The 26,812-nt window shown below is 36.8% G+C and overlaps 1 protein-coding gene and 1 long non-coding RNA gene across 20 annotated transcripts in view; one reads left to right on the forward strand and one right to left on the reverse strand.

Annotated features, from left to right (window-relative positions):
• The window catches only part of NEBL (nebulette), a 513,078-nt gene that overhangs the window by 45,068 nt on the left and 441,198 nt on the right, over positions 1 to 26,812 (reverse strand). For 7 of the 17 annotated variants that reach the window (XR_001746995.3, XR_242691.6, XM_047424443.1 and 4 more), the window contains 8 exons: positions 25,355 to 25,462; positions 20,218 to 20,328; positions 15,699 to 15,809; positions 10,473 to 10,583; positions 6,433 to 6,543; positions 6,156 to 6,266; positions 3,490 to 3,594; positions 1,407 to 1,499 (listed from right to left, as the gene is read on the reverse strand). The exons of the other annotated variants lie outside the window; for them this stretch is intronic. Coding sequence is in view for 5 of the 7 variants with exons in the window: in XM_047424443.1 (XP_047280399.1) it covers positions 1,407 to 1,499; positions 3,490 to 3,594; positions 6,156 to 6,266; positions 6,433 to 6,543; positions 10,473 to 10,583; positions 15,699 to 15,809; positions 20,218 to 20,328; positions 25,355 to 25,462 (861 nt within the window). In the remaining 2 variants the exon portion in view is untranslated. The remainder of the gene's footprint in view (positions 1 to 1,406; positions 1,500 to 3,489; positions 3,595 to 6,155; positions 6,267 to 6,432; positions 6,544 to 10,472; positions 10,584 to 15,698; positions 15,810 to 20,217; positions 20,329 to 25,354; positions 25,463 to 26,812) is intronic. 17 annotated transcript variants of the gene reach the window in all.
• Positions 20,549 to 26,812, forward strand: part of LOC102725112 (uncharacterized) — a 39,354-nt gene continuing 33,090 nt past the window's right edge. For all 3 annotated transcript variants that reach the window (XR_007062082.1, XR_930737.4, XR_007062083.1), the window contains exons 1-2: positions 20,549 to 20,665; positions 23,381 to 23,486. This is a non-coding gene — a long non-coding RNA (uncharacterized LOC102725112). The remainder of the gene's footprint in view (positions 20,666 to 23,380; positions 23,487 to 26,812) is intronic.

Raw genomic sequence — 26,812 nt, forward strand, 5'->3', positions numbered from 1 at the left:
CTCCTTACACTTTATTCAAGAGACAGCTCCATGGTGCTACAGAGGTTTTATTGCACTCATATTCTGTAGACTTTTTATGCTTTTATTTTGAAGTATACTTTACTATTGCATTCTCTTACCTCTCCTACACTTTCTTCACAAACGCTGACCCACACTGATATTCTCTGGATGCTGCATAATGACCAAGTGACCCACAGATGAGTCTAATCAAGGCAATTCTGCTTGGATTACTTAAAGGGAAGGTGCTCTTTCCAAGGATAAGGTGAAAAGATAAGTCAGAGTAAGGGATTTAAAGAACGAATCCTTTTTACTTCCTCAAGAAACTAAATGTAACGGAAAGGCACAGTAGCTTATGCCTGTAATCCCAGCACTTTGGGAGGCTGAAGCGGGAGGATCACTTGAGGTCAGGTGTTTGAGACCAGCCTGGCCGACATGGTGAAACCCCATCTCTACTAAAAATAAAAACAATAAAAATAAATGGCCAGGTGTGGTGGTGTGTGCCTGTAATCCCAGCTACTCGGGAGGCTGAGACAGAAGAATCACTTGAATCTGGGAGGCAGTTGCGGTGAGCTGAGATTACGCCACTGCACTCCAGCCTAGGCAACAAAGCAAGACTCTGTCTCAAAAAAAAAAAAGAAACTCAATGTACTAAATATACATGGGAGAATATCAAATTGGTAAGGAGAGCAATTATCCACAGCAAATGTCAAACACTCAATGGAAAAAACAATTTATCCGTAATATTAAGCACCTTAATGTTAGAAGGACCCTTCCAACAGAAGAGGACCCCTCCCCCCAGTCTAAAGGTTACTGGAAGCTAAGTTATTTCACAATTTATAGTGAAGATGTGTGATTTGTTTTCGTTTCTGCTGGAAGAAGCAGAAGGTAAAACAGGCTGGAAAGAAGAAATGGGCAGAAGCGTGTCTGATAAAAAGCTTAGAGATGTGACTGACATCGGTTAAAAATGAACTGGTACTATTTGCCTTTTCAAATCTAATCCTTCACTTAAGCTGCCAAATAAATGTTCTGGGGCCTTTAATCATTGTATCAGGGAAAAATTTCTTTCTTCCAACTTGTGGAGAGGTACTGAAATGTATCCTTTCTCTGCAAAATTTAATAGAGTTAAAATTCTCTTCAAAGAGATGAAATCTAACCCTAGGTTTCATTAAAATGACCTAGCTCTTCTTCATTGTGATATATCAAAATGAAACACTGCTTCAGAGTCAAGGGGAACAAGGATACAGTTTTTGTTCTGAAAGTTAGATCTTTGATATATGATGAAATAGCATTTCAATAAAGTGAAGAATAAAAGGAAAAAAGCCATCAGTTGAGTAAAGAACTAAAAACATTTGTCTATAGTTTTGGTTTGCTTTTAGAAAAGATAATTAATGCTGTAGAGAACTTACTGAACTAATATTCTGCTGATTTTTCTTCACTCGTTCGATCTCTGGGCTATCTTTCACTGCAGTGCCAGCTCCCACTTCTTTCTTATAAAATACCTTTATTATAAGAAAAGGAAAAGAATAACTAAGCTTGTCAGAATTCAAGTCCTAGATCCGCTTCTTAGAAAGACAATTTCTCAGGTTTTATAATAATATGAATACTGCATCTATTTATGAGTGCCGGAATTATAGGAACAAATTAAATAATCCATTCAGATAATCCATGAAAACTTTGGTTTTATATCCCATAATCTCACAAATAACCCTCTCCTGCTCTAGGTCTAGACCACTACCATGGCTGACTGCAGATTATTTGCTTTAAGAATACACATTGGCAAACCAGAGTTCCTTTCTTCAAATATAAATATATGTCCCATGTGTATTTGAGAAAAAGCAGATATTACAAAAGCCCATTAAGCCGTTATCACTGAATTCAAAAAGAAAATGACATTTTAGGCAACTTCTATGCTCCAAACACAAGGATGCCCACATTCTCTTCCAAGAAAATGTTAGCTCATCATCAATATCAATGTTAATTTCAAGTCTATCTTCTTCATCTTCCACTTATTTGTTAACCCTCTCCCATGTGTCTCCACCCCTACTAACGTCTACCCTTCCAAACCCAAAGCAGAACAAAAACACAAGAGTATTTATGAGTGCCCTCGTTATGAGTACTCTGCAGAAAAACAGAGTAATTATAAGAAAGGTAAATGAGGATAGAATTACTCCCTTTCTTGACATTTGGTAATCCAGTGGCCCCCGCGTGGGTGGGAGAGCACGGTAGGAGAGATGTTTTCCTCCAAAGGCTAGAACTACAGAACACTATAGAATCACACAGCCTCTTTTCCTCATCCTTCCATCAAGACTTTCCCATTTCTCAGTACAGCCTGGCCATCCCTGTGGAGACCCAGCAGACATCTGACCAGCTTACTCTGAGAGCTGGCGCTTGCCAACTAATTAGGAGGTAGGAAATATTCCAGAAGTCCTCACACTTACTAGAATTTATATTTTGATGAGATGCTTCCTTAACTATTAATGACTGAGCTAATTCTATGTTAAAATATTAGTTGTATGGTCAATTTTTACAATTTTAGAACAGAAGTCAAGTTTATACATTTATTAATGGACTCAGCCTCTTAATTAATAGTGCTGATGCACTATTTACAATAGGAAAGACATGGAATCAACCTGAATGCCCATCAATGATAGACTGGATAAAGAAAATGTGGTACATATACACCACAGAATACCATGCAGTCATAAAAAAGAATGAGATCATGGCCTTTGCAGGGACATGGATGGAGCTAGATGCCATTATACTTAGCAAACTAATGCAGGAACAGAAAACCAAATACCGCATTTTCTCACTTATAAGTGGGAGCTAAATGATGAGAACACATGGACACACAGAGGCGAACAACACACACAGGGGCCTATCAGAGGGTGAAGAAGGAGGGGAGGGAGAGGATCAGAAAAAATAACTAATGGGTACTAGGCTTAACACCTGCGTGACAAAATAATCGTACAACAAACCCCTATGACACAAGTTTACCTATGTAAAAACCTGCACAGGTACCCCCAAACTTAAAATAAAAGTTAAAAAAAAAAGTGCTGATGCAATTCCTCTTCCTCAAAATAAAAATATAGAAGTTTAGAAATTTATTAAGAATGAGTAAATGGTTAGACATATTATCAGTAAAAACAATCAATAACCAGGAATAAAATCACTTCATATGACTATTTTCACCTTCAAAGTAAAATCTGTGTAGAAGACAGACTTCTTTCCTGAGTTAAATTTTAAAATTTAGTTAATAACTGTCATTTATACCGAAGAGGAAATTTTGAATTTGTAATTCCAAAAAAATAATGAAAAATGATAATTTGTAAAAATTATCAGTATTCTTATTATTTTAAAGAAATAAAGATAATACACTTGACAGAAAATTCAACTAAGACAGCAGAAAACATCAGACAATGAGGAAAAAAGACCATTTCTTACAAAACAAAATTTCAAGGTGGCAACTTAAAAGAAGTAATGGCTACTCACCGCACTAATGTTTTGTTGAGTTGTCTTAATTCTCTGAATTTCAGGAGTATCTGCTATGGTAGAATAGTTAGAAAGCATCTTCTCTGCTTCATCTTTATACTTTCTCTAAAAACATAAACAGTTAATATAAATCTGAAACTATGTGTGTGCGCACATGTGAGAGGGAGGGAGGGAGGCAGGAAAGGAGGAAGGGAGAGAGAGAGAGTAAAAAACTGTTTTTACTGACTTACACTCCCAGAGAGAGAGAGAGAGAGGTGGAGAGACAGAGATAGAATGATACCATTCTTCGATCTCTACCATACGACATGGCTTCTAGATTTACGCTTTGCTTCCTACTTCATGTGAAGATAGATTTGATTAAGGGAAAGTTAACAGTATTTTGAAGTTGAGATTAAAATCTTAATTTTCTCTCCACTAAATGAGCTACTATGAGCTCTAATACAACCCAGGCAATATCTTATCCTAGTACCAGCACTTACATTGTACTTACTATGTAATGGGTATTGTTCTAAATACTTAACACACACTAACTCATTTAATCAACCTGACAAGCAGATACTATTATTATTTCCATCTTACAGATGGAGAAACTGAAGTACTAGATAGTAAGTATCAGAGCCTCAACTTAAAACCAGGCTCTCTGATTCCAAAATCAGTGAAGTTAATTATTCTGGCAAACTACTTAAGAAAATGTGGCACATATACACCATGGAATACTATGCAGCCATAAAAAATGATGAGTTCATGTCCTTTGTAGGGACATGGATGAAATTGGAAATCATCATTCTCAGTAAACTATTGCAAGAACAAAAAACCAAACACTGCATATTCTCACTCATAGGTGGGAATTGAACAATGAGAACACATGGACACAGGAAGGGGAACATCACACTCTGGGGACTGTTGTGGGGTAGGGGGAGGGGGGAGGGATAGCATTAGGAGATATACCTAATGCTAGATGACGAGTTAGTGGGTGCAGCGCACCAGCATAGCACATGTATACATATGTAACTAACCTGCACATTGTACACATGTACCCTGAAACTTAAAGTATAATAATAATAAAATTAAAAAAAAAGAAAGGTAACTACTATTCATGTTGAAATGCACCAGGCTTCATTACACCCTCGTAAGTATCCCAATTGTATTTCAGTGATTAAAATCCCTTAAAATTAGATATATTCTCACACCACACTAAAAAAAAATCTATGCTGTTGAGTTAATGCAGGAAATCTGACAGCTCAGGCACCTTCACTCTCAATACTTTTACTTTCAGGTGTATATATCATGGTTGTAATACTATATTTACATGATTATTAGATTTATCTGTAGCTTTCCAAGAGCAAAGCCATGTCTAGTTTTGCCTGCAAATGGGTGCTCAGGAGGTATTTACCTACTGAAGGAATGAATTTGGCATTCTTGAGAGAGTAAGTAACTCTTCTCCACTGACTCAAATGTCTATTTGTTGTTTAATGCATTGACTTAGGATTTTAGTTAAGCTGATATGGCCAAGCCAATGTCTCCAAGTTCACGAACACTGAGAACAGAACACACACTTCAGGATCATCCCAGCGGCTGTGTCGGCTGCGGAGGCTGAGAGGCACACAAGTCCTCTGACATTTGACTCTGCCATCTTGATACTACCCTTTTGAACTAGTGGATGGTTAATGTCCTTGCTTATGTCTTAATCAGAATTTTAACAAATTTCACCAAATGTTGTTACACAATCCTTTCTGCATAAACTCCATTAATCAAATTAAATGCTATGGTCAATTTTAAATAACCATTTTCATTTTTTTCATTCCTTCTATTTTTTTCCATTGGGAGTCATTCTTTTTTAGTAAATGTTACAGCAAAGATATTATTTGCTAATGAATGTTTTTGCCCAAGTCAGATTTTATAAATAAATTCTTCTTCCATAAATTTTTGTGGTCACTACTTCTCCCACATCCAGCTTTGTTTACAGAATATGGGACAAGTATATTTGACAAATCTAAATTTTACCAAGAAAACCTCACTGTTCCCTTAATTTTTACCTAACACTAAACTTCACTTTATACCTTGTGCAGCTTTAGCCACTGTTAGCTTTATTTGGAACTATTTTAATATTAATATTCATTATGAAATGGTTAAAAGACAAAACGTTTGTAATTTATTTTTCTGTAGTATTAGCAAAAGCATTTGAGCCAAGTGTCCAATAGGGTCAAAAAAAAAAAAAGAAAGAAAGAAAAGGTTAAAATATCCTTGGGCTGGGCACAATGGCTCATGCCCACTGAGGCAGGAAGATAAGCTTGAGCCCAGGAGTTTGAGGCTGCAGCAAGCTATGATGGTGCCACTGCATTCCAGCCTGGGTGAAAGAGTGAGACCTCCATCTCTAAAATTTAAAAAAAAAAAAAAAAAAAAAAAGGTTTAATGTCCTTGGACTCAAAACAAGGAGCCCCGACAGAGAGGCTGTAGCTCTCCATAATGTCTGTTGCATTGAATCTATGACTGTTGTCCTATTAATTAGTACGGTTAATCAAGTTTGGCCAATGGTTTCTTAGTGAAAGAGTACACTAGCTCTGAATGCAATGCCCTCAGAAAGATATCATTCATAGAGACATACAAAGCACATGGCAACATGACATTGGAATACACGATTCTGAGCATCTTCATTCATGACCAACCTGGCTATAGATTTCAGATGTCCTCTTGGCTCGAAGGATATCTGGGATATCCATGCTCACTTGCATTCCTTTCCCTTTAATTTCATTTTCTAAGTCCTTCTTGTATTGTTTCTAAAAGAACAGAAAATAATCTTAGAGCTTTGCTTAAGCTTTAATAGCGATGTTGAAATTTACATGTTTGAATCTCAAAGCCACCCATGTGGAAAGAAAACTTATGCTCTTTCCAGCTATGATTCACGGCATTTATTTTAAACTTTGTATCTTGCTGCTGTCTTACCTGGCTGGCCATCTCGGATGCTTTCTTAGCTCTCTGGACATCAAGAGTGTCTGTGCTCACCTGCATCCCTTTCCCTTTAATTTCAGTCTCCAGATCTCTTTTATAGTCTTTCTGCAGAAAATGAAACATACAGTTAGTGCTCTCCAATCATTTGAGAAACTGCTCAAAAATCGAGATGTCATTTTGACATTAAGACCATGTCTTTTGGAATGAAGTTGAATCCTTATTTCTTTTATTTCTATAGAATAATAGAGTTTTTACTTGTGGTAGGAATACGACTTAGTATAACTTATTCACCAGTAATCAGAACAATTTTTTTCAGCTAATCTGAATTAAGAAGAAGAAAAAACACAGCTAGCCAAGGGGAAAATTTAACATTTCAATATGATAAACTTGATATATTATTGGGTCATATATGGCTTAGTTAAGTGTCAGTCAAGAGTGATTGTAAAATTGCTGTTTTTCACTCTGTAGTGAATAAGTGTTGGTTGCTTCTCTGGAATCCACCCCTTTTTTCCCCTTCATTGGCTCCCTAATTTGCCACTAGACAACTCAATGTTCCCACTCCTAAACCATCCAGCTTCGGTGAGACTGGCTCAAATCTCTGGACTTAGCTGGGCTTAAATAAATCATTATTCCCTTCACTGGCTCTCTGATTTGCCACTGGACAAGTCAATGTTCCCCACTCCTAAACCATCCAGAAACTGGCCCAAGTCTCTGGGATCTGCTGGACTCAATAAATCATTATACCCCATCACCCACACTGCAGAATTGGTTCTGGGATGCATGCATCTTTTTTTCCATATAAGAGCTGCTGGAAGCCTCTTTGCAAACAAGAATGTCTACCTAAGAACTGCAAGCTGAAACTATATCTCATTATTTGAGTCCTAGATCAAGCCGTGCCTAGGAATTTCTCTACTATTCAATCATAAGAACAACAAATAAGTTATCTCTGTTTTTTTTTTAAGCCAGTGGGAAATGGATTACCAATTGCTTACAAGATAGTCATAATTACATAGACACACATGTCTTTAGGGACTTCTGTCACATTTGAAAACTGATTATAAAATTCAGAAAGCTGTACATATATAAATTTGCTTTTTCTATATGTATATTATTCTTCAAAGAAAAATGTTATTAAAAAAAACTATTAACTATAGCCAATTAAATTTGCTTTAAAACAATTATTTCTTATTATGCTGACACACTCCAGATTTGTAGATTCTCTGCTGCAAAGTAAATGTTGATTTGCTTATTAGGAGATCCTCAAATTTAGGTAAGTGGTAAACAAAAATCTCAGTCTTGGAGTATTTTGCCTCCTATCTTCCACTCATAATCCTTCCTGTTTTTACTGACTTACACTCCCAGTATCACTTTTCTAAATAAAAGTTTACATAATTATGTTTAACTTTCAAAATATTAATATTCAATTATTACTATGTCTACAAAAAGCACTCTGTTTTAGTCAGCCTGTTCAAAGCCCCAAAATGAAATGTTTCATTTGAAGGCCAACAAATATGATGAAACTGAGGCACTGATAACAGACAGCCACCAAGGTCTGATGGTAAAAGGATGTAACAATTTTTTAATATGAACTTTCAAATGTAAATGTGTTCTAAAGCACATAGACTACATTAGACACCCTTTGCATCAGTTATTTGTTGTCTGCATAACAAAACACACCAAAACTTAGCAGGTTTAAAACAACATGGCGGCATCTACATTCCAAGAGGGCAAACCCTAATGCAGAAGTGTGTTTATAGTCTGAGTCACATTTGCTGATGTCTCATTGGCTAAAGAAAGTCACATGGTCAAGCCCAGAGATATGGGAAGGCTTGACTCTTGAGGGTCATTTGTGTCACAATAAGATCCATTGACTTTATTTGAAAAATAAACTTTTGATATTAAAAATAAACTATGGCAAAGTCCCGAACATTGGTTGAAAATGATCTGAGCCTGTCATTTAGGCAAAATGGGACATGACTATGATTATATGCAAATGAGATTTTTATTATTATTATTTGGGGGGTTTTTATTGACTAAGATTCTCAGCCTGAGAGTGGAGACTTCACCAGAGCCACGTGAATCAATTTACACTGGATGTGACTGGAAACCATTAAAGAATTGCATGTGAGGAGAGTAACAAAATTTCATTTAATTGCCTCAAGGATTCTTCTCCTGCTGGGTTAAGAATGTCTACTAGGACCCTGGAGGCAGAGCTTGCAGTGAGCCGAGATTGCACCACTGCACTCCAGCCTGGGCGACAGAGCGAGACTCCGTCTCAAAAAAAAAAAAAAAGAAAAAAAGAATGTCTACTAGGAAGGCAATAATAGCAGAATTCTGGTTAGGAAGCTATGGCAATGATCTAGAGGATAGAGATAGTGGCTTAGGACTAGGGTGGCAAGAAAGATGGATTTAGACCACCACTATGGGGGTGGCATCAATAAAGTATGCTGATGACAGGAATCAAAGTGACTTCTATGCTTTGGTTGGCGCCATTTGAAGATTGGGGAAAGCTAACCTAGGGGAAAATTAGGGATTCTAGTTTTGGCCTGTAACGTTGAGATCCCATTATACATTTCCCTTGCAGACAACAAAAGATAAATGGTCACATATTCACATCCATGTTACAGAACACTTAATTTTTCTATAAGAATGAGGTAGACCTATATGAAGGAACATGGAAAAAAATCCTTAATATAAAGTGAGAAAACAATCAACCACTTAAATGGGGTCTGACCCCATTTAAGATTTTTTTAAGTCGCTGTGTGTACATGTGTATGTTTATCTATATAAACACAAAATAGATTTGGAAGGTTCCATAACAAACTTATAACAATGACTATCTCTCAGGACGAGAACAGAAGTAGGAAAGGGATAAAGCAGGTTTTCAAGTTCCTCATGCTCCTGGCCGTCCACCCCTGGCCACCACTTCAAAATGGAACACTTATTGATCAGGAAACCTATACCATCTCCACTTCCTTTGTCTTATTCAATCATGGCAATCCCATTTCCCTGGCCAGTGCCTAACTCTGGGGATGTCAGTCATTTTCAAAACAACAGTAACTTCCCTAGCAGCTAAGCAGCTACCTCTGGCCTTCCAGATTTCCTGTAAGGTGTCAGTCCTGAGTCAGCTCTTCCTAAGTGCAAAGATCACACAACAGGTCTCAGGATACTCCACTGAAGCCCCCACCTAACCAACCTTGAGATAAGTGAACAGGACCCCTTCACCTGCACCCCGATTTTTTCTTCACATACACTTTTTATAAAATCATCACATCCCAAAGCTTCTTTACTCCAGTGATCCTTTTATATTCTCAGATTTTCTGGGGAAGTTCAAGAGGTGTAGAGAAAGTTCTAGGGTATTTCCTTTGAAAAATATGCATATGGTCTGACTCCTACAACCTTGTGATGTGATACCCAGCCTGTCACAGAATTTAAGACAAAACTTCTAAATCAATATCCTGTATCCCATGAAGAAAAAACTGGTGTTATCAGATGAATGAACATGGTCGTTCAGGTTATATCAGACCTCCATCCAAAATGCTGACTGTGTAGAAATTTCATGCGTGCTGATCATGTCAACAAAGGCTATTTTAAGAACATGCAATCAGACAGGAATGACTATTGTTCTCATGTAAAGTGTCCATATATGAAGTTCTGCTCAGAAATTTGGAAATACAGATATGCCAAGCAGCACATGATCCATTAAAAAATACCATGAAAACATTTATCATAGCCTAGATTACCATTAAATCTGTTGTATTCTGAAATAAGGTGTGCAGGGGAGTGCATGTGTGCATGTGTGTCTGTTCAATTAAAATGCCTTCCACCAAGCTTTCTTGATATATTGGAAGGATATGAGCAAAGCAAAAACTGTAATTTTTCAAACTGGCATAATGCTTCGGAATAGTCTCCATTCCAAACTGTTAAACCAGCTGCAATGCTTTGAGAAATTCCATATAGTAATCAAGTTGCTAATACGATTTGTTAGGTTCCAAAATATGAGTCTTAAGGCCTGCATCACGCACCCTACTAACCTCACTCGCTATCTCTGCAGCCTTCTTGGCATGCTGCATTTCAAGGGTGTCAGTGCCAGCTTGCATTCCTTTCCCTTTAATTATTGACTCCAGGTCTTTCTTGTATTCTTTCTGCAAAAGACAACATTTTACAACATTCAAACACTCAGTGGGCAAACATGCATCTGCAGTCAATGATACTAAAAAAAAAATAGTTAGACATATTTTACAAAAGAGGTAACAAAGCTCCTTGAGTACTATGAATGATCACTCACAACTAACTTCTGAACTGCTTAGAATGATAATCTCATTCTCACTGAAGAAGGGCATGCAAAGCTCCAAAAATGTTTAGTATACAAAGGCAATTGCCATGTGAAAATCTTCACTGACAATTTTCTTTGGGGCTGGAGGATAGGGAGGTGGGTGTAAATGAGCTGCTGTTGTACAAAACAGATGAACTTAGAAGCCAGAGCATTCACCAGCTGTATGACACTGAGAATTCTTAACCTTTCCAGTTTACTCATCTGCAAAATGAAGGTAGTAATGCAAGCATACCTCATTTTTATTGTGCTTTGTAGATATTGCATTTTTTTTTACAAACTGAAGGTTTGTGGCAACTCTGCTTGTCAAGCAAGCCTATCGGTGCTATTTTTCCAACAGTATGTGCTTACATGGTGTCTCGGTGTCACATTTTGGTAATACAATATTTCAAACTGTTATGGTGCTTTGTGATCAGTGATTTTTTTGTTTTGACAGAGTCTTGCTCTCTCGCGCAGGCTGGAGTGCAGTGGCGTGATCTCGGCTCACTGCAACTTGTGCCTCCTGGGTTCAAGCGATTCTCCAGCCTCAGCCTCCCGAATAGCTGGGACTACAGGCATGCGCCACCACATCCAGCTAATTTTTGTATTTTTAGTAGAGACCAGGTTTCACCACGTTGGCCAGGCCGGTCACGAACTCCTGACCTCAGGTGATCCACCCACCTCGGCCTCCCAAAATGCTGGGATTACAGGTGTGAGCCACCGCATCTGGCCAATCAGTGATCTTTGATGTTACTATTGAGACAGACAGATAGGAGGGGGTCACTGGCAAAACTCCAACTGGCCTGTGCACTGGGAAGAGCATGCGCTGGGGTGGAGCCACAGAAGTTCCGGCAGTTTGCAAGAGGGAGGAGCCTGGCCTCTCCTATTCCTGTGTGGAACCTGGGATTCAAACTGTGAGGTGGGAAGCACTCTAGCAGGGACTCTGGCCTTGCAGAGAGTCCCTGTTTCCCCCTTTTCTTCCTTTACACCCAATAAAACTCTGCTTTACTCACCCTTCAAACTCTCTGCAAGCCTAAATTTTCATGGCCATGGGACAAGGACCCTGTCTTTAGCTGAACCAAGAAGAAGTCCTGCAACACTATTGTAATTGTTGGGAGATGCCACCAAATGCACCCCTATAAGTCAGTGAACTTAATCGAGAAATGTTGTGTGTGTTCTGGCTGCTCCACTGATCAGCCGTTCCTCTATCTCTTTCCCTCTCTTTGGGCTTCCCTATTCCCTAAGTCAAAACAATATTGAAATTGGGCCGATTAGTAACCCTACAATGGCCCCTAGATGGTCAAGTAAACAGAAGAGACGTGCTTTAAGTCAAAAGCTAGAAATGACTGAGCTTAGTGAGGAAAGGATGTCAAAAGCCAACACAGGCCCAAAGCTAGGACTCTTGTGCCAAACAGTTATTCGAGTTGTGAATGCCAAGGAAAAGTTCTTGAAGGAAATTAACAGTGCTACCCCAGTGAACACATGAATTATAAGAATGTGAAACAACCCTATTGCTGATATAGAGAAAGTTTTAGTGGTCTGAATAGGTCAAACCAGACAAAACATTCCAGACACAACATCCCCTTAAACCAAACCTAATCCAGAACAAGGCCCTAACCCTCCTCATTTCTGTGAAGGCTGAGAGAGGTGAAGAAGCTGCACAAGAAAAGTTGGAAACTAGCAGAGGTTGGTTCATGAGGTTTAAGGAAAGAAGCCATCTCCATCATATGAAAGTGCAAGGTGAAGCAGCAAGTGCTGATGGAGAAGCCACAGCAAGTCACCCAGAAGATCTAGCTAAGATAATTAATGAAGGTAGCTACACTAAACAACAGATTTTTGATGCAGACAAACCAGCCTTCTATTGGAAAAAGATGCCATCTAGGACTTCCATAGCTAGTGAGGAGAAGTCAATGTCTGCTTCAATTCTTCAAAGGACAAGCTGACTCTTATTAGGGTCTAACACAGCTGCTGACTTTAAGTTGCAGCCAATGCTCATTTACCATTCTGGAAATCCTAGGGTCTTTAAGAATTATGCTAAATCTACTCTGCCTATGCTTTATAAATGGAATAACAAAGCCTGGATGACAGCACATTTGTTTAAAGTATGGTTTACTGAATATTTGAAGCCCACTGCCAAAACCTAATGTTCATAAAAGAAAGACTCCTTGAAAATATTAATGTTCAGTTACAATGCACCTGGTCACCAAACAGTTCTGATAGAAATGTATAAGGATATTCATGTTTTCGAGCCTGCTACTCAACATCCATTCTGCAGCCCATGGATCAAGGAAAATTTTTACTTTCAAGGCTTATTATTTAAGAAATACATTTCATAGGGCTATACCTGTCATAGATGGTGATTCCTCTGATGAATCTGGGCAAAGTAAATTGAAAACCTTCTGAAAAAGATTCACCACTCTACATGCCATTAAGAAGATTAGTGATTCATGAGAGAAGTACAAAATATCAACATTAATAGAAGTTTGGAAGAAGTTGATTTCAACTCTCATGGATGACTTTGAGGGGTTCAAGACTTCAGTGGAGGAAGCAACTGCAGATGCAGTGGAAATAGCAAGAGAACTAGAATTAGAAGTGGAACTTGAAAATGTGACTGAACTGCTGCCATCTCATAATCAAACTTGAATGGATAAGGAGTTGCTTCCAATGGACAAGCAAAGAATGTGGTTTCTGAAGATCAAATCCTTGTGAAGATGCTGTGATCATTATTGAAATAACAACAAAAGATTTAGGATACTACAAAAACTTTGTCATTAAAGCAGCAATGGGTTTGAGAGGTTGGTCTCTAATCTTGAAAGTTCTACTGTGGGTAAAATATATCAACAACATCACATGCTACAGAGAAATCTTTCATGAGAGGAAGAGGCAATTAATGTGGCAAACTTCATTGTCATCTTATTTTAAGGAATGGCCACAGTCAACCCAACCTTCAGCAGCCACCATCCTGATCAGTCGGCAGCCATCAATATAGAGACAAGACCCTCCGCCAGTGAAAAGATTACCACTTGCTGAAGGATCAGATGATCATTAGCACTATTATAAATAAAGTACTTTAAATTAAGATATGGATGTATTTTGAACATAAGCCTATTGCATACTTCTTAGACTACAGTATGGTATAAACATAACATGTATATGTATGGAGAAACCAAAAAGTTCATGCGAATCACTTTATTGTGATATTTGCTTTATTAGAGTGGTCTGGAACCGAACCCATAGTATCTCCACAGTGTGTCTGTACCTCCATGTAGGATCCATTGTGAGGATCAATGACAGTGCATAGCACAGAGGAGATGATCAACACCTGACACCTTCTTCCAGTTTTTCAATCTTATTCTCCTAGGCCGGTTCTTCCTTCTCCTAATAAGGCCTAATTAATGCTGCTCCTGCCGCCATCCTGCCATTCAACTGCATCTGTCTGTACTTTGCCATTGAGAGAATAAAACAACTTTTACACATGCTACTGACAAGTAATTACAAGACAATCTCTGCATGTGGATTGGACATGTCACGGCAACAGAAGAATTTGCAGAAAATGACTAATGTAGGGTTAATGTGATGACAATGTTAGCCACAGACCTCACCAGGGGCACGTGTTGTTTATGGCTGACCAGCATCCATTCCTCCTCCTTCTGGCAAAAAGCTCCATGATTTCCTTTTGGGAAATGACCTCTAAGTTCTCTCAATCCATACCCTTGGGAAGGATTGATTTCCATCACCTCCCTAGTCCCCACATATATTTTTAATTCTACTAAAGTGCCTTTTAAATGTTTCCTTTATTTAAAGAATGTGAATATAGCTGAGATTAAGGTCATGTTTTAAACACATAAAAATTTAGAATGTTTTCTATAAGACACTGTTAAACTACCTCAACAAATGGGTGACCATGAGAGGATAATCAGCACATTCTACTCCCCCAATCCCAGACACAATGATTATGCCAGGTGTAAGCACAGGATAGAGATTAATCCAAGGAGATTCAAACCTAAGACTTTGATTGGAACTATAAAAAGGGATGTTCACTTCCCATTGGGATTACTGGCCATAGATATGAGTTATCCTTTTATTAAGTGGGTTCATTGCATGGAGACAGCCTTCCAGAAGCAAAGCCAATAGTGAAGATAACAGAACCAAGAGATGGAGGAAGAGAGACATCATCTGAATTCTACCTTGACAGTAACTCAATCTTCGGATTTTCTATTCCATGAGTGAAGACATCTCCTTTGATGCCTACCCTAGTTTGAGTTGGGTTTCTGTCATTTGTAACCTAAGAGTCACCATCACCATCGTCATCGCTATCATCATCATCATTATCATCAGAGTTTCAAAATATGGGGACAAGGCTTTAAGCTCTTTCACTGCTAAATTCAGCCAAAGTCTCTTAAAAGCACAGTGACACCATATGACCCAAAGTAATGACATAATACAAGGATTACAGGACTGAAAACACTTCAGAGACATTTCAGTTCTCCTTATAAAGTGCATGAAAAGTGAGCAGAAACCACTTTCATTTGATAAAGAGGCTGAATAAGGTTCAAACAGCAGCCCAGGGCAAGACTGGGAGAGTCAGTTGGGTTATGAGTGGCAAAGCATGTGAACTTTCTACCTGCAGTTACTGATGGACCATAATAACATACCTTCCCAATCATCTGCCTTTTACCTGCTTAAAAGATGAAGTTAAATCTCATTAAACTATTTTCGTTTATTATATGGATTTTCTCCAAAGTGGGGAAACGGCCATTTTTTTCACATCACATAGAAAGGGGATTTTAAAAAAAATTAATAGTCCAAGAAAAGACTACAAGGATATAGCTGTTTACAATCACTTACATATAAAAGTTATAGATGTATAGAACCTTTGAGAAAGATTGACAAATAAGAAAGTCAGCTAAAAACATATTCATCTAAGGTGTTAAATAAACATACTCACCTCACTTGCCATTTCAGAGGCTCGCTTTGCTCTTTGGATATCAAGAACTTCTGAATTAAGTTCCATTCCTTTCCCTTTTATCTCATTTTCCAAATCTTTTTTATATTCTTTCTATGAGACAAGAATATCACAGTTCAAAACTTAGCAGGAATCACTTTATTCAGTGTGCTATTCTACATGTTTTCTAGAGATCACAGAAATGAGAAAATATTACTAGGAAGGAATGAATCACACAGCTAAGTATTCATGCTTTTTTCCTACAGACACTTCATTTTCCCCTCTACCAAGTTCAGAGTGGCTTCCAATATTTTCAGCCTTTTCCTTTTCATACTTTCTGTCAATATGTTTTGGTACCATAGTGGATTTTTTTTAAAGACATCTTCTCTTTCAATGGTGAGGAAGATCTTAAGAACACGTGTTCCTTATTAATTGTTAAAACTATTTTTGAAAGTTCTATAAAACATGCATTACCAAAAAAGAACATGGTTGCAAAAGAATGGAAAATTACAAAATCAAAAGGAGTGATGTAGCCAAAGGTTTTTTTTAAAGTTTAAAAAGTGAGCAGAAACCACTTTCATTTGACTCAGGTCATTCCAAAATTATAAGCAGCCCATTCCAATGTCTAGTAAGCTATTAGGAGTTTCAATTACTTGGGCTCACCACAGCCTGATAGATGGTACTTGAAAGCAGATACTTCAAGCACTATCCATCACAATTACTTTAGGTATTTACTTTACCCTTTTACAAGCCTCAGAATATTTCAAGGCCCCCTTTACTATCTCTGATGGAATCTATGGCTCAACATTCATGATGATGAATGGAATCATCCATAGATAATGAAATGTGCATAGATGATGGAATCTATGGCTCACGATGATGATGATGATGATAGCGATGATGATGGTGATGGTGACTCCTAGGTTGCAAATGACAGAAACCCAACTCAAACTAGGGTAGACCAAAAAGGAGATGCAATCACTCATGGAATAGAAAATCCAAAGATTGAGTTATTGTCCAGTTGGAATTCACATGATGTCTCTCTTTCTTCATCTCTTGGTTCTGTTTTCTCTATTGGCTTTGCTTTTGGAAGGCTGTCTCCATGCAATTTAAAGAATTGGAAAACCAAAACATTTTCTACACATTAATAATAGTTTGAATTTCACCCATTTGAATGTCATATTTTAAGTAGATCCAAATGCCTTCTATGAATACTTACATACAACTTATTTTTCTCTGCTAATGAGTTGCTTGTTTTCTTACTTAATTGCGTATGAAAATCATAAATATCTTATTCCTATTCAACTAAGTTGCATTTATGATTAACTTGCCAGATGAAAGATGAAATTTCCTTTATTGATAAGAAATCAGGTTCCAGTTAATTCTAGGGTTCATTTCATGTTACTTTCCCTTCATCCATTATAATTAAATTAGCCTGTCCTCTGCTCAACTAATAGCTTACTAGACATTGGAATGGACTGTTTTATAATTTTGGAATGATCTGAGTCAAATGACCCGAGTGAAAGTCAGACCTCTTTCATTTATTTCGTGGTGTGACCTTCGGGAGTACTTTTAAGTAACTCAACCTTGATTTCCACCTTGGTGAAATGAAAATAAAAATACTTGTTCTAGTAATGTCAAAGGGCAATGGGGGGATCATAGGAAATGAAGTATAAAATGATACTTTGAACACTCTAATGCAATGTCAATGTAAAAACCACAAAGTAAAAAATGCAAAGTTCATTTGAAGCTAAATGCTTACACTTACAAAGGGAAGTAATAATTTAATTAAGTCACCAAAAGTCCTCTTTTTCAAATTAGACAAGCTATAACTATTTTTTAAGTTAATTTTTAAAAAATTCTTATTGGAAGTTGACAATTTATGGTTGCATATATTTATGGGGTACAGAATTGCCATAATTTATGAATACAATGTGGAATAATTAAATCAATCTAAATAATATATCCATTACCTCAAATATTTACTTTTTCGTGGCGAGAACATTTGAAATTTACTCTTAGCAATTTTGAAGTGCACTATATACTATCTTCACCACACTGTGCACTAGATCTCAAAAAAAGTATTCCTCCCGTTTAGAGATTTTGAACTCTTTGACTATCACCTTGCCATTCCTCCCACCCTCCAGCCTCTGTAACCACCATTCTACTTTCTGCTTCTAGGAGTTCAAGTATTTTAGATTCCACATAAAAGTGAGAATATGCAGGATTTGTCTTTCAGTGCCTGGCTTATTTCACCTGGCATCATAGTCGTTATGAACTAAATGTTTCTGTCCCACCAAAACCCGTATGTTGAAGCCCTAGCCCCCATTGTGACCGTACTTGAAGGTGGGACCTTTGGGAGGTGATTAGGGTTAGATGGGATTGTGAGAGTGGGACTCCCTTGATAAGATTAATATCTCTAAAGGAAGGAGGAAAAGCACCACAGTTCTATCCCTCTACTGAAGTCACAGTACAAAGGTGTCTGCAAGCCGGTAAGAGGGCCCTCGCTAAGAATCAAATCTGCCAGCACCTTGATCTTGGACTTCCCAGTCTCCAGAACTTTGAGAAAAGTCTGTTGGTTAAGCCACTTAGTCTGTGGTATTTTGTTATAGCAGCCAGAACAGACCAATACAATACAGTGTTCTGAGCCCTTTCCTACCCTGATGCATGTATTCTGAATTAATAAATTAAGACTCACTCCAAAACAGGAATAAAAGAAAAAGGCAATGGCACATAGTAAAGTCATTTATGAATCTCAAAATAGACTTCACATTGCCATTTGTATATAAGTGATTAAAAAAAGATTCTCCTTTAAAAAATTAACATAAATAGTGTATTTTTAAATGGAAGACAACAGTAGTAGGAAGTTGCCATTATTTGAAATTGTTTTAAAAATAATTATTAAACATTTTTCTTCCAAAAAGCCTTATGGCCAACTATTTCTCTTTTTTCCTTTTATTTTTAGTTGACACATAATTGTACATATTTATGGGATACAGAGTGATATTTTAATATGTGTACACAACATATTATGATCCCATCAGGGTAATTAGCATATCCATCACCTCAAACATGTATCATTTCTTTGTGTTGTGAACACTCAAAATCCTCTCTTCTAGCTTATTAAAAACATCCAATCAATTATAGTTAACCATATTCACCTTACGGTGCTGCAGAACACCAGAGCTCATTCCTTTGTATCGATTAACCAACCTCTCCCCATCCTCTCCTCCTGCCACTGTGTCCTAGCCTCTAATACCCACAGCTCTACTCTCTAGGAAGTTGCCATTTGCTTAGCCTTCAACTTCAAAAATTTTTACTAGGAACTAGAAGTGAGAAAAGATAGTGCAGCAAGAGAACTCTTATAGAAATTACATGTCTATTTCAGCACATTACATATTACAACACTGAATCACATTAAATTTCTAAAACCAGTTAAACGGTATGACCAGTTAGCATTTGCTTATTAAAGAAGTTCATGATGATGTGCTCCTATAGGCAATTAATCTCAAATTTATTTCACTGGTCTAAGAGATTTCCTTCAGGAATAGTTTCCTCAGTTCAAAAATTCAAAATGAAATGAAATTTCATATGTATGTATGTAATATACATTCCGTTTATATATCATAAAATATATATTATATTGTGTATAAGATATATATACAAATATTACATGATATACTACATTTATACTTAGGGAACACTTTCCCTTAATATAAAGAGTATATAAGCAGATTTGGAAAAGCTATGAGCTACTTTTTGACCATTTAAAAAACATAAAAAAAAAAAAGCTTTTAAAGGTGGACTATAGACATGATATTTTTAGTTTTAAGGTCTTAATATTAAGAAAATTTAATATATTACTTGTGAGCAAAAAGTGCACCATTATGTTTTTGGGGAAATTTTTGCAGAGAATAAAATGAAAAGTGGACATGAGTTCCTCTATTCTATATGTTAAATATATTATTTTTCCCTACTTAGAACACAAACTACTTATAAGTAATGTAGCATTTATCCAGACCTTCACATGTGAGCATCTTATTTCTGATATCAAATGTCAAGAAAGGGAGAGAACTCTGGTCTTTTTCCTCCTTCCTTTAGAGACATTTGCTGCAGGAAAGCGACAGGAAAAGTTGGTTCTAAAATGTTTTTATAATAACTAAATTTGAAAGAATCAAGCTCTCTCCACCCATATTCAAAACATTTTTTTAAAAACTGCTATAAAGCTATAAAACTATTTATAGAGCTTCTGAGCTACAACTAAAACAAAAAACTAGGCTGTTTTTCAAGTTTTCCCAGGAAATCTGGGTAATTTCTTCTCGCAACTTTAATGGGAAATGTTAACACACACTTTCTTGTTTCTAATGAAAATGCAACACTTTATTAGTGAAGATCAAAGTGAAAAAAAAGAGTAATGCCTTAATATCTGAAACACTGAATTAGTAGAGAATTAGGTAAACATTTCCTGGGTTTTTTCTTTACTTTTCTTCATAATATTTAATAATAAACACCAAGATCGTACCTCCCTCAGAAGGTTGGTGATGTACTTTACATGTAAAAATTCTGGAGTCTTGTCTAAATCCAGTGATGACCTTCCTTTAATCTCCTTCTCAAAATCCTCTTTGTAAACTTTCTGTTAAATAAGACCACATAATTTTAAAGTTAGCAAATATCAGTGACCATTGAAAAGAGATTTGAACAAGAGTTCCCAGAACAAAAATGATGTTTTCTTAGGTAGTTCTACCACCTGAGGGTCATCCTATCAACAGGGAAATAAGTTCAACTTTGTCATAAATTTTAGAATTCTACCAAACAAAGGAGAATTATTAAGTGGACTCTTCCTCTGGTAAATCATTCTAAGTGAGGCTTCCTAACATCTTACTAGCCTAGGATTAATATCAGCCCATTTTTTGGAGGAGAACCAACAAGACTGGCTATTTGACTGGATCCCCCAATTGGTTTACTCCAAGGTGAGTGGATCCACTGACTGGGGGAAAATCTGGTGGCACGGAAGCCATTCAAACCACCTTCAAACCCAAGCAGCATTAATGTTCATGTCCCCATCATCCTTCTTCATCAGACTTTTGCAAATTTAGGAAATATCACTTCTAAAATGTAATGATGCCTGAGGGTTAGGGAGGGGGTTTCCCTTTAATGATTTTGGAGTTGAGAATATTTCTCTACCATCTATGGTGTTTGATATGAATGAAGTTGTGCTGTGAGGAGAATTTTATCTTGAACCTTATAACTGAACTCCTCCTTTAAGTGAGAGTTCACAACAAGAAATGAAAGGTGGATGCGACGGTGATAGCTGGGGGCTTAGATTCAGACCACCATTAGCCTTTTTAAAACACTGAGCCACTCTTTGGCTATGACTCTCTAAATTCTAACATTTGAACTACACATTTGAAAAATCAGTGATAATGCATGCTTTATGACTATAAAGACAGCCTCTCTAAATAACAAAAATATCCATCCATGTGAAATATCTACTAAACAAGGGCCCAGATTTTACCAGCCAAATATTTTGTTCAAATTGCATCCCTGAAATGATAAAAGTAAATAAATTCTGCATGAAATTGTTATTCAGGCAAAAAGAGAAGCTGTTTCCAGGTTGATTATTTATTCATTATAGAGATAGGTAATTTTATAAATAAAGAATGTCTCTAAACCATGAAGGAGAATAAGAGAAGCATGCTGTCTCCTCACTTAGCACATGTGTTCCATACAGCAATCTAACAAACAACGTGGATATAGCCACAAGGAGAGAAACAAAGGATGTTCTGAAAGTCTAACAAAGTTAAATAACCAGTTGCATTGAGAACATCCTGAACTAAAGAACTGAGATACAATGACCAAAAACAACGACTAGAAACTTTCCTCTTCCTTATGTGGAATTAGTAGAGATAACAGTTACAAGGCTGAATCTAGGGCATCTCTAGGCTAAAAAGGACTCTTTAAATGGTGAAATAGAAATATGTCTATGCATTCACGCATGCATTTACATCAGCTAATTCACTTCAAAAAGCCCTTCTGGAAAAAAAAGTTATTTTACTGAAGTAAGTCATTAAGGGAGGTTAATTACGACTAGAAGTAGCCAAAATATATAGCTAGAAAAAAAAAAACCTTTTGGGTATGCTTTTTGAAGAAAGCAGTATTTGTGAAATAAGACAAAGAACTTTTCAAGCCAAATTTAAAGATTTCCTCCAGAAAACACACACATTAAGCCTATATCTGCCATTGGAAGAAAGTATGATAAACTTAATTATAGGCCATAGCAAAGACACCAGTGGCTTTTCTTGGGATCATAAATACTTAAGTTTACCTGTAAGAGGTTCCTTGAGGAACTCATAGTCAAACCTACCTCTTGGGAATAAAAAAACATCTCTAAGACAAATGATTCTCTTTATACCTACTTCATCAGTCCTATATTTAAAAATATTTTTTACACCAAACTTTGTCTAAGACTTTTAGCTACTTTATTTTTCTGGCCTTTAGCATATGAATTGGGTCCAAAGATACTTTCTACTGAAAGATTTCACTCTCCTCAAGAAATGATGGTTGAGCCTAAAACATCTAATAGTCAATGACTATAATTAAAGGGAATATATGTCAGGGAAAACATGTCTCACTTGGCAAGAGTGAGAGAAGAAGTTGGGTGAAGAAAAGAGAGACTATCTAAAATCCCAAATCATAAATTACTGTTATTTCTACTACAGAAACATAGTATTTGAATATATTAATCATGAATTATAAGTTTCTGGATTTATCAGTGAAAGGAAAGTTATCCACAGAAGGAAATAAGAAAGTTAAGAAACTGTGCAACCAGAATGATAAAAGGTTGCTCAGCATGAATGTTTCTAGGGCTGAGGATCAAAGAAGAGGGGAGGGGGTAAAGGGAAAGGGGCAGGGGAGGAAACTAGAAGGAGGTCCAGCCTGAAATACTGATGCTGCCAGAAATGTTCTCAGAAAAGGAAAGTGATTTTTGATCCCTGTCTCTTTCAGTGAAAATGTATGTTAACAGCTTCATACTGTCTTAACCCATTTCCGTTTTGCCTCAAGAATATTCTTGTCTCTAATCCTAACGTAACATTATAAACCTGTCTGTTCCATTAGAATTAGAGACAAGGTCTGTTTAGAAATAACTCCAAGAACAGTTTTTATATTTTATTTTCACGTTGAAAATCAGGTCCGATTTGCTTCAGCCCCAAAGAGCATGTTTATGTAAAATTAAATGAGTGCTGGCAGCAAACTGCACATTTTTTTTCTAAATGGGAAATGGGTTAACCTTTCAGAAGACCCACTAAGCAAAAGCACTATGATAGCTCCTGAAAACAGAAACCTTTCTCTGGGCTGTGGGTCAGTGACAATGGCCACATTATCTCTACAAAACAGGGACATTCATTGGGTGGCTCTACTCCATCCAAAAAGTGCTGCTGCAGAAAAAAGTGCTGCTGCAGTGGAAGATAGTAAAGCAATGAAAAGAATGTATAAAATACTTTATATACTTTATACAGTGTTTACAAACTGTTATCTAAAGGAAGAAAAGGTAATCTAGGGAAATTTATTCCATTAAATGTAAATTTTTGTAGGGTTTCTGAACTTTGACCAAATTCACTAGTATCAATTCACTTGAAACAAATAACTAATTTAATCAAAATGGTTACTTCATATTTCTTTATCAGATTCCTCTTCATTGGCTTAAGAAGATACAAGACAGGAGTCTCCAATCCTTAGACCATGGACCAATATCAACCATGGCCAGTTAGCAACCCGGTAACAAAGCAGGAGGTGAGCAAGGGTGAGGGAGCATTCCTGCCTGAGCTCTGCCTCCTGTCAGATCAGCGGTGGCATTAGATTCTCATAGAAGCACAAACCCTATTATGAACTGTGCATGCAAGGGATCTAGGCTGTGCACTCCTTATGAGAATCTAACTAAAGCCTGATGATCTGAGATGGAAGAGTTTCATCCTAAAACCATCCCCTCCAACACCACCACCACTCGCCAGTCCATGGAAAAATTGTCTTCCATGAAACCCATCCCTGGTGCCAAAAAGATTGGAGACCACTGAATAAGACACAAAAAATACAAGTAATTCTTTTTCCTTTTTGCTTGAAGAAGAAATTAAACAATTTTGTCTATTCAGTAAACCATAGTAATATCTGAGTGCCTTTTTCCCAAGAATATGAATTATAACATTTCAACAAATAGCATAGTTAATGCTTACAAAATTCCTGAGAGTTTTTTTGTCTACAAGTTATCATTTCTGCCTGTTTTGATGTTGTTATTGGGCAACAGAAAGGATCTTATTCATTGAGCATGCCTAGCATGAAGCATCAAGGTTGTATTGGACTGAGACCAGCATCCACTATTTCTATCCCTTTGCATTAAGAACCCAGCTGCACCCACAAAACTTTGATATAGGCTGCAGACAAAACCTTGTGTGTCTGATCCTGAAAAGGTAAGAAGGAAAACACACACACATACACACACAAATAAGTCTCGCTGGAACAGAGAAAAAAAAAGTGTGGGGAATATCGAGATGTTACTTAGCATAATCTTAGGTTGAGAATAAAGTAGGTAAGTAGAAAACACTCTTAATTGTTTATTGAAAAAAAATCAATCAAATACGCCGCCTATGCTTTGAATGTGTCCCTTCAAAGTTCGTGTGTTGAAAACTTCATCCCCAACGCAACACTGTTGGGGGGTGGGAACTCTAAGAGGTGATCAGGCCATAGCGCTCTGCCTCATGAATGGATTGATGCCAATATCATGGGAATGGTTTTGTTACCATGGGGTTGGGTTCCTGATAAAAGGATGAGTTTCCCATCTCCTCCTCTAAGGCATGTGCAAGCACTCTCTGTCTTTCCACCTTCTGCCATGGGATGATTCAGCAAGAAGACCCTTGGCAGATGTGAATCCTTGGATTTTGAACTTCCAGCCTCCAGAACTGAAAGAAATTAATCTCTGTTCTTTATAAATTGCCCCGTCTGTGGTATTCTGTTATAGCAACACAAAATGGACTAAAATATAAACTAAAGAGAAAAGGAAATCATTCATGATTTTGACCAGGTGCTAAAACATTAACATTTACTGGATACAGAATTTCATCTAAGACAATTTCAGTAGACACATTCTTAATCTACAGAGAACACCTTCCTAGCATCATTACTTTGAGGACTAAATGAGCTGACATATATAAGACTCTTAGCATATTACCTAGCATGTAGTAAGTATTTTAAAAATGTTAGTTCTATTTTCATTGAAAAAAAAAGGGGGCCAGGTAAATAAAGCAACCAGCTATTCGTTTTTAGTTTTTATGAACTCATCATAGTTTTACATTAATATCTGAAAGGCAAAAGGTAAAATTAACATTTGAAAGTGTCAGTTATATTATCATAGAAAATTAGAACTGAGGGGGATTTTAAAAGCTCATCTAGCTTGAGATCCAATTCACCAATGAGAGAAGCTAAGGACCAGATAAACTCAATGACCTAGACAAGATCCCAGGCAGTGGGTGGCTGGGTCTAGAAAGCAGGTCCTTGAATCTGCCCACAGCAGCACTCTTCCTTCCAGACCCACTGAACATTCTGCGTCCTTTCAAATGACAAAACATCAAATTTACATTAAACAATTAGTAACAAACTAATTGACCTACTTCACTTTGCATCTTTTGAGCCTCCTTTGAAGCTTGATATGATGGTGTCTCAACAAATTCAAGCATTGGCTTTCCCTTATTTTTCTCATATTCTTCTTTATATTTCACCTTCATTGGAAAAAGAAAAGCATATACAAATCGAAAGTCCTTATACAAACAGAGCAAACTAAGAAAAAATATATGTTCTAAACTAGTCATCTTGTTGTCTAAAATCATATTATTCTGGCCATTTAGGTTGAGCACTGGGTTCCCTTTGGTTAATGACATACAAGGAAAGTAAACAGGTAATATAAAATATCTTAAGGGATAAAAATAATTTAGAACAACTAACTAATGTAGTTCTAGGAGTTGTATAAAGCATCTTGTCAAATGGCTGGAATATATAGATATGTATCGTATATATGGGGTTATACATGTATATGCAAATGGCATACACACATAGGTAGCAGGTGTGAGAAAGAGAGAGATCCTTGAGGTTGCATTGATGTCTATTGGTAAATCAAGAACAAGAAAGAAAACATGGGTATGATTCTCTATTTTTTCTGTCAAACGGAGGAGGATGTCCTCCAGGGATGCTGAATTTTTTCATAGACACTGAGTAAAACACTCACACAGACCTTATATGATTTATATCAATTTCACTATGCAATATTTAATATCATATTATGAAATGTTTAATTCAATTACAGTCTAATCCTCATCTTACTTCGGTTTATAAAATGAGTGATATTTTTTATCTTCCAATAACAAAAAATAATATGTAAGCCATCACAATGGTTGGCTTTTTAAGCAATATACTGTTTAAAATTAAACTCATAGAAGTTTTTATACTTCATTTCATTCAGAAATGTGCTCTTGATAAAATTTATGTTTAATAATATCTATACAATTATTTCTTAAGTTATTAAAATAATAATGTTAATGATAATTCAACCCAAGAGAAATTTTTCAAACTTAGAACTTTATGAAACAGGAAATATGACACATTTTAAAATACCTATTTGTAGACATAATTTTGTTGCAAAGAGTATGATAGAGTAATCAATAAAGTATCGGGAAGTATAATAACACACAACACTAGGATAGAACTTTGTGAAATGGCCGGGTGCAGTGGCTCACACCTGTAATCCCAGCACTTTGGGAGGCCAAGGCGGGCAGATCACAAGATCAGGAGTTTGAGACCAGCCTGGCCAATATAGTGAAACCCCGTCTTTACTAAAAATACAAAAAAAAAAAAAAAATTAGCCAGGCGTGGTGGCATGCACCTGTAATCTCTGCTACTCGGGAGGCTGAGGCAGGAGAATCGCTTGAACCCAGGAGGCAGAGGTTGCAGTGAACCGAGATCACGCCATTGCACTCCAGCCAGGGTGACAGTGCGAGACTCCATCTCAAACAAAAATTTTGTGAAATAAATGAAATGAAAATAAGTAATTTTTAGAAATGATGTATATTTCCAAA

The sequence above is a fragment of the Homo sapiens genome, chromosome 10, assembly GCF_000001405.40.
Source record: "Homo sapiens chromosome 10, GRCh38.p14 Primary Assembly".
Taxonomy (NCBI): Eukaryota; Metazoa; Chordata; class Mammalia; order Primates; family Hominidae; genus Homo; species Homo sapiens.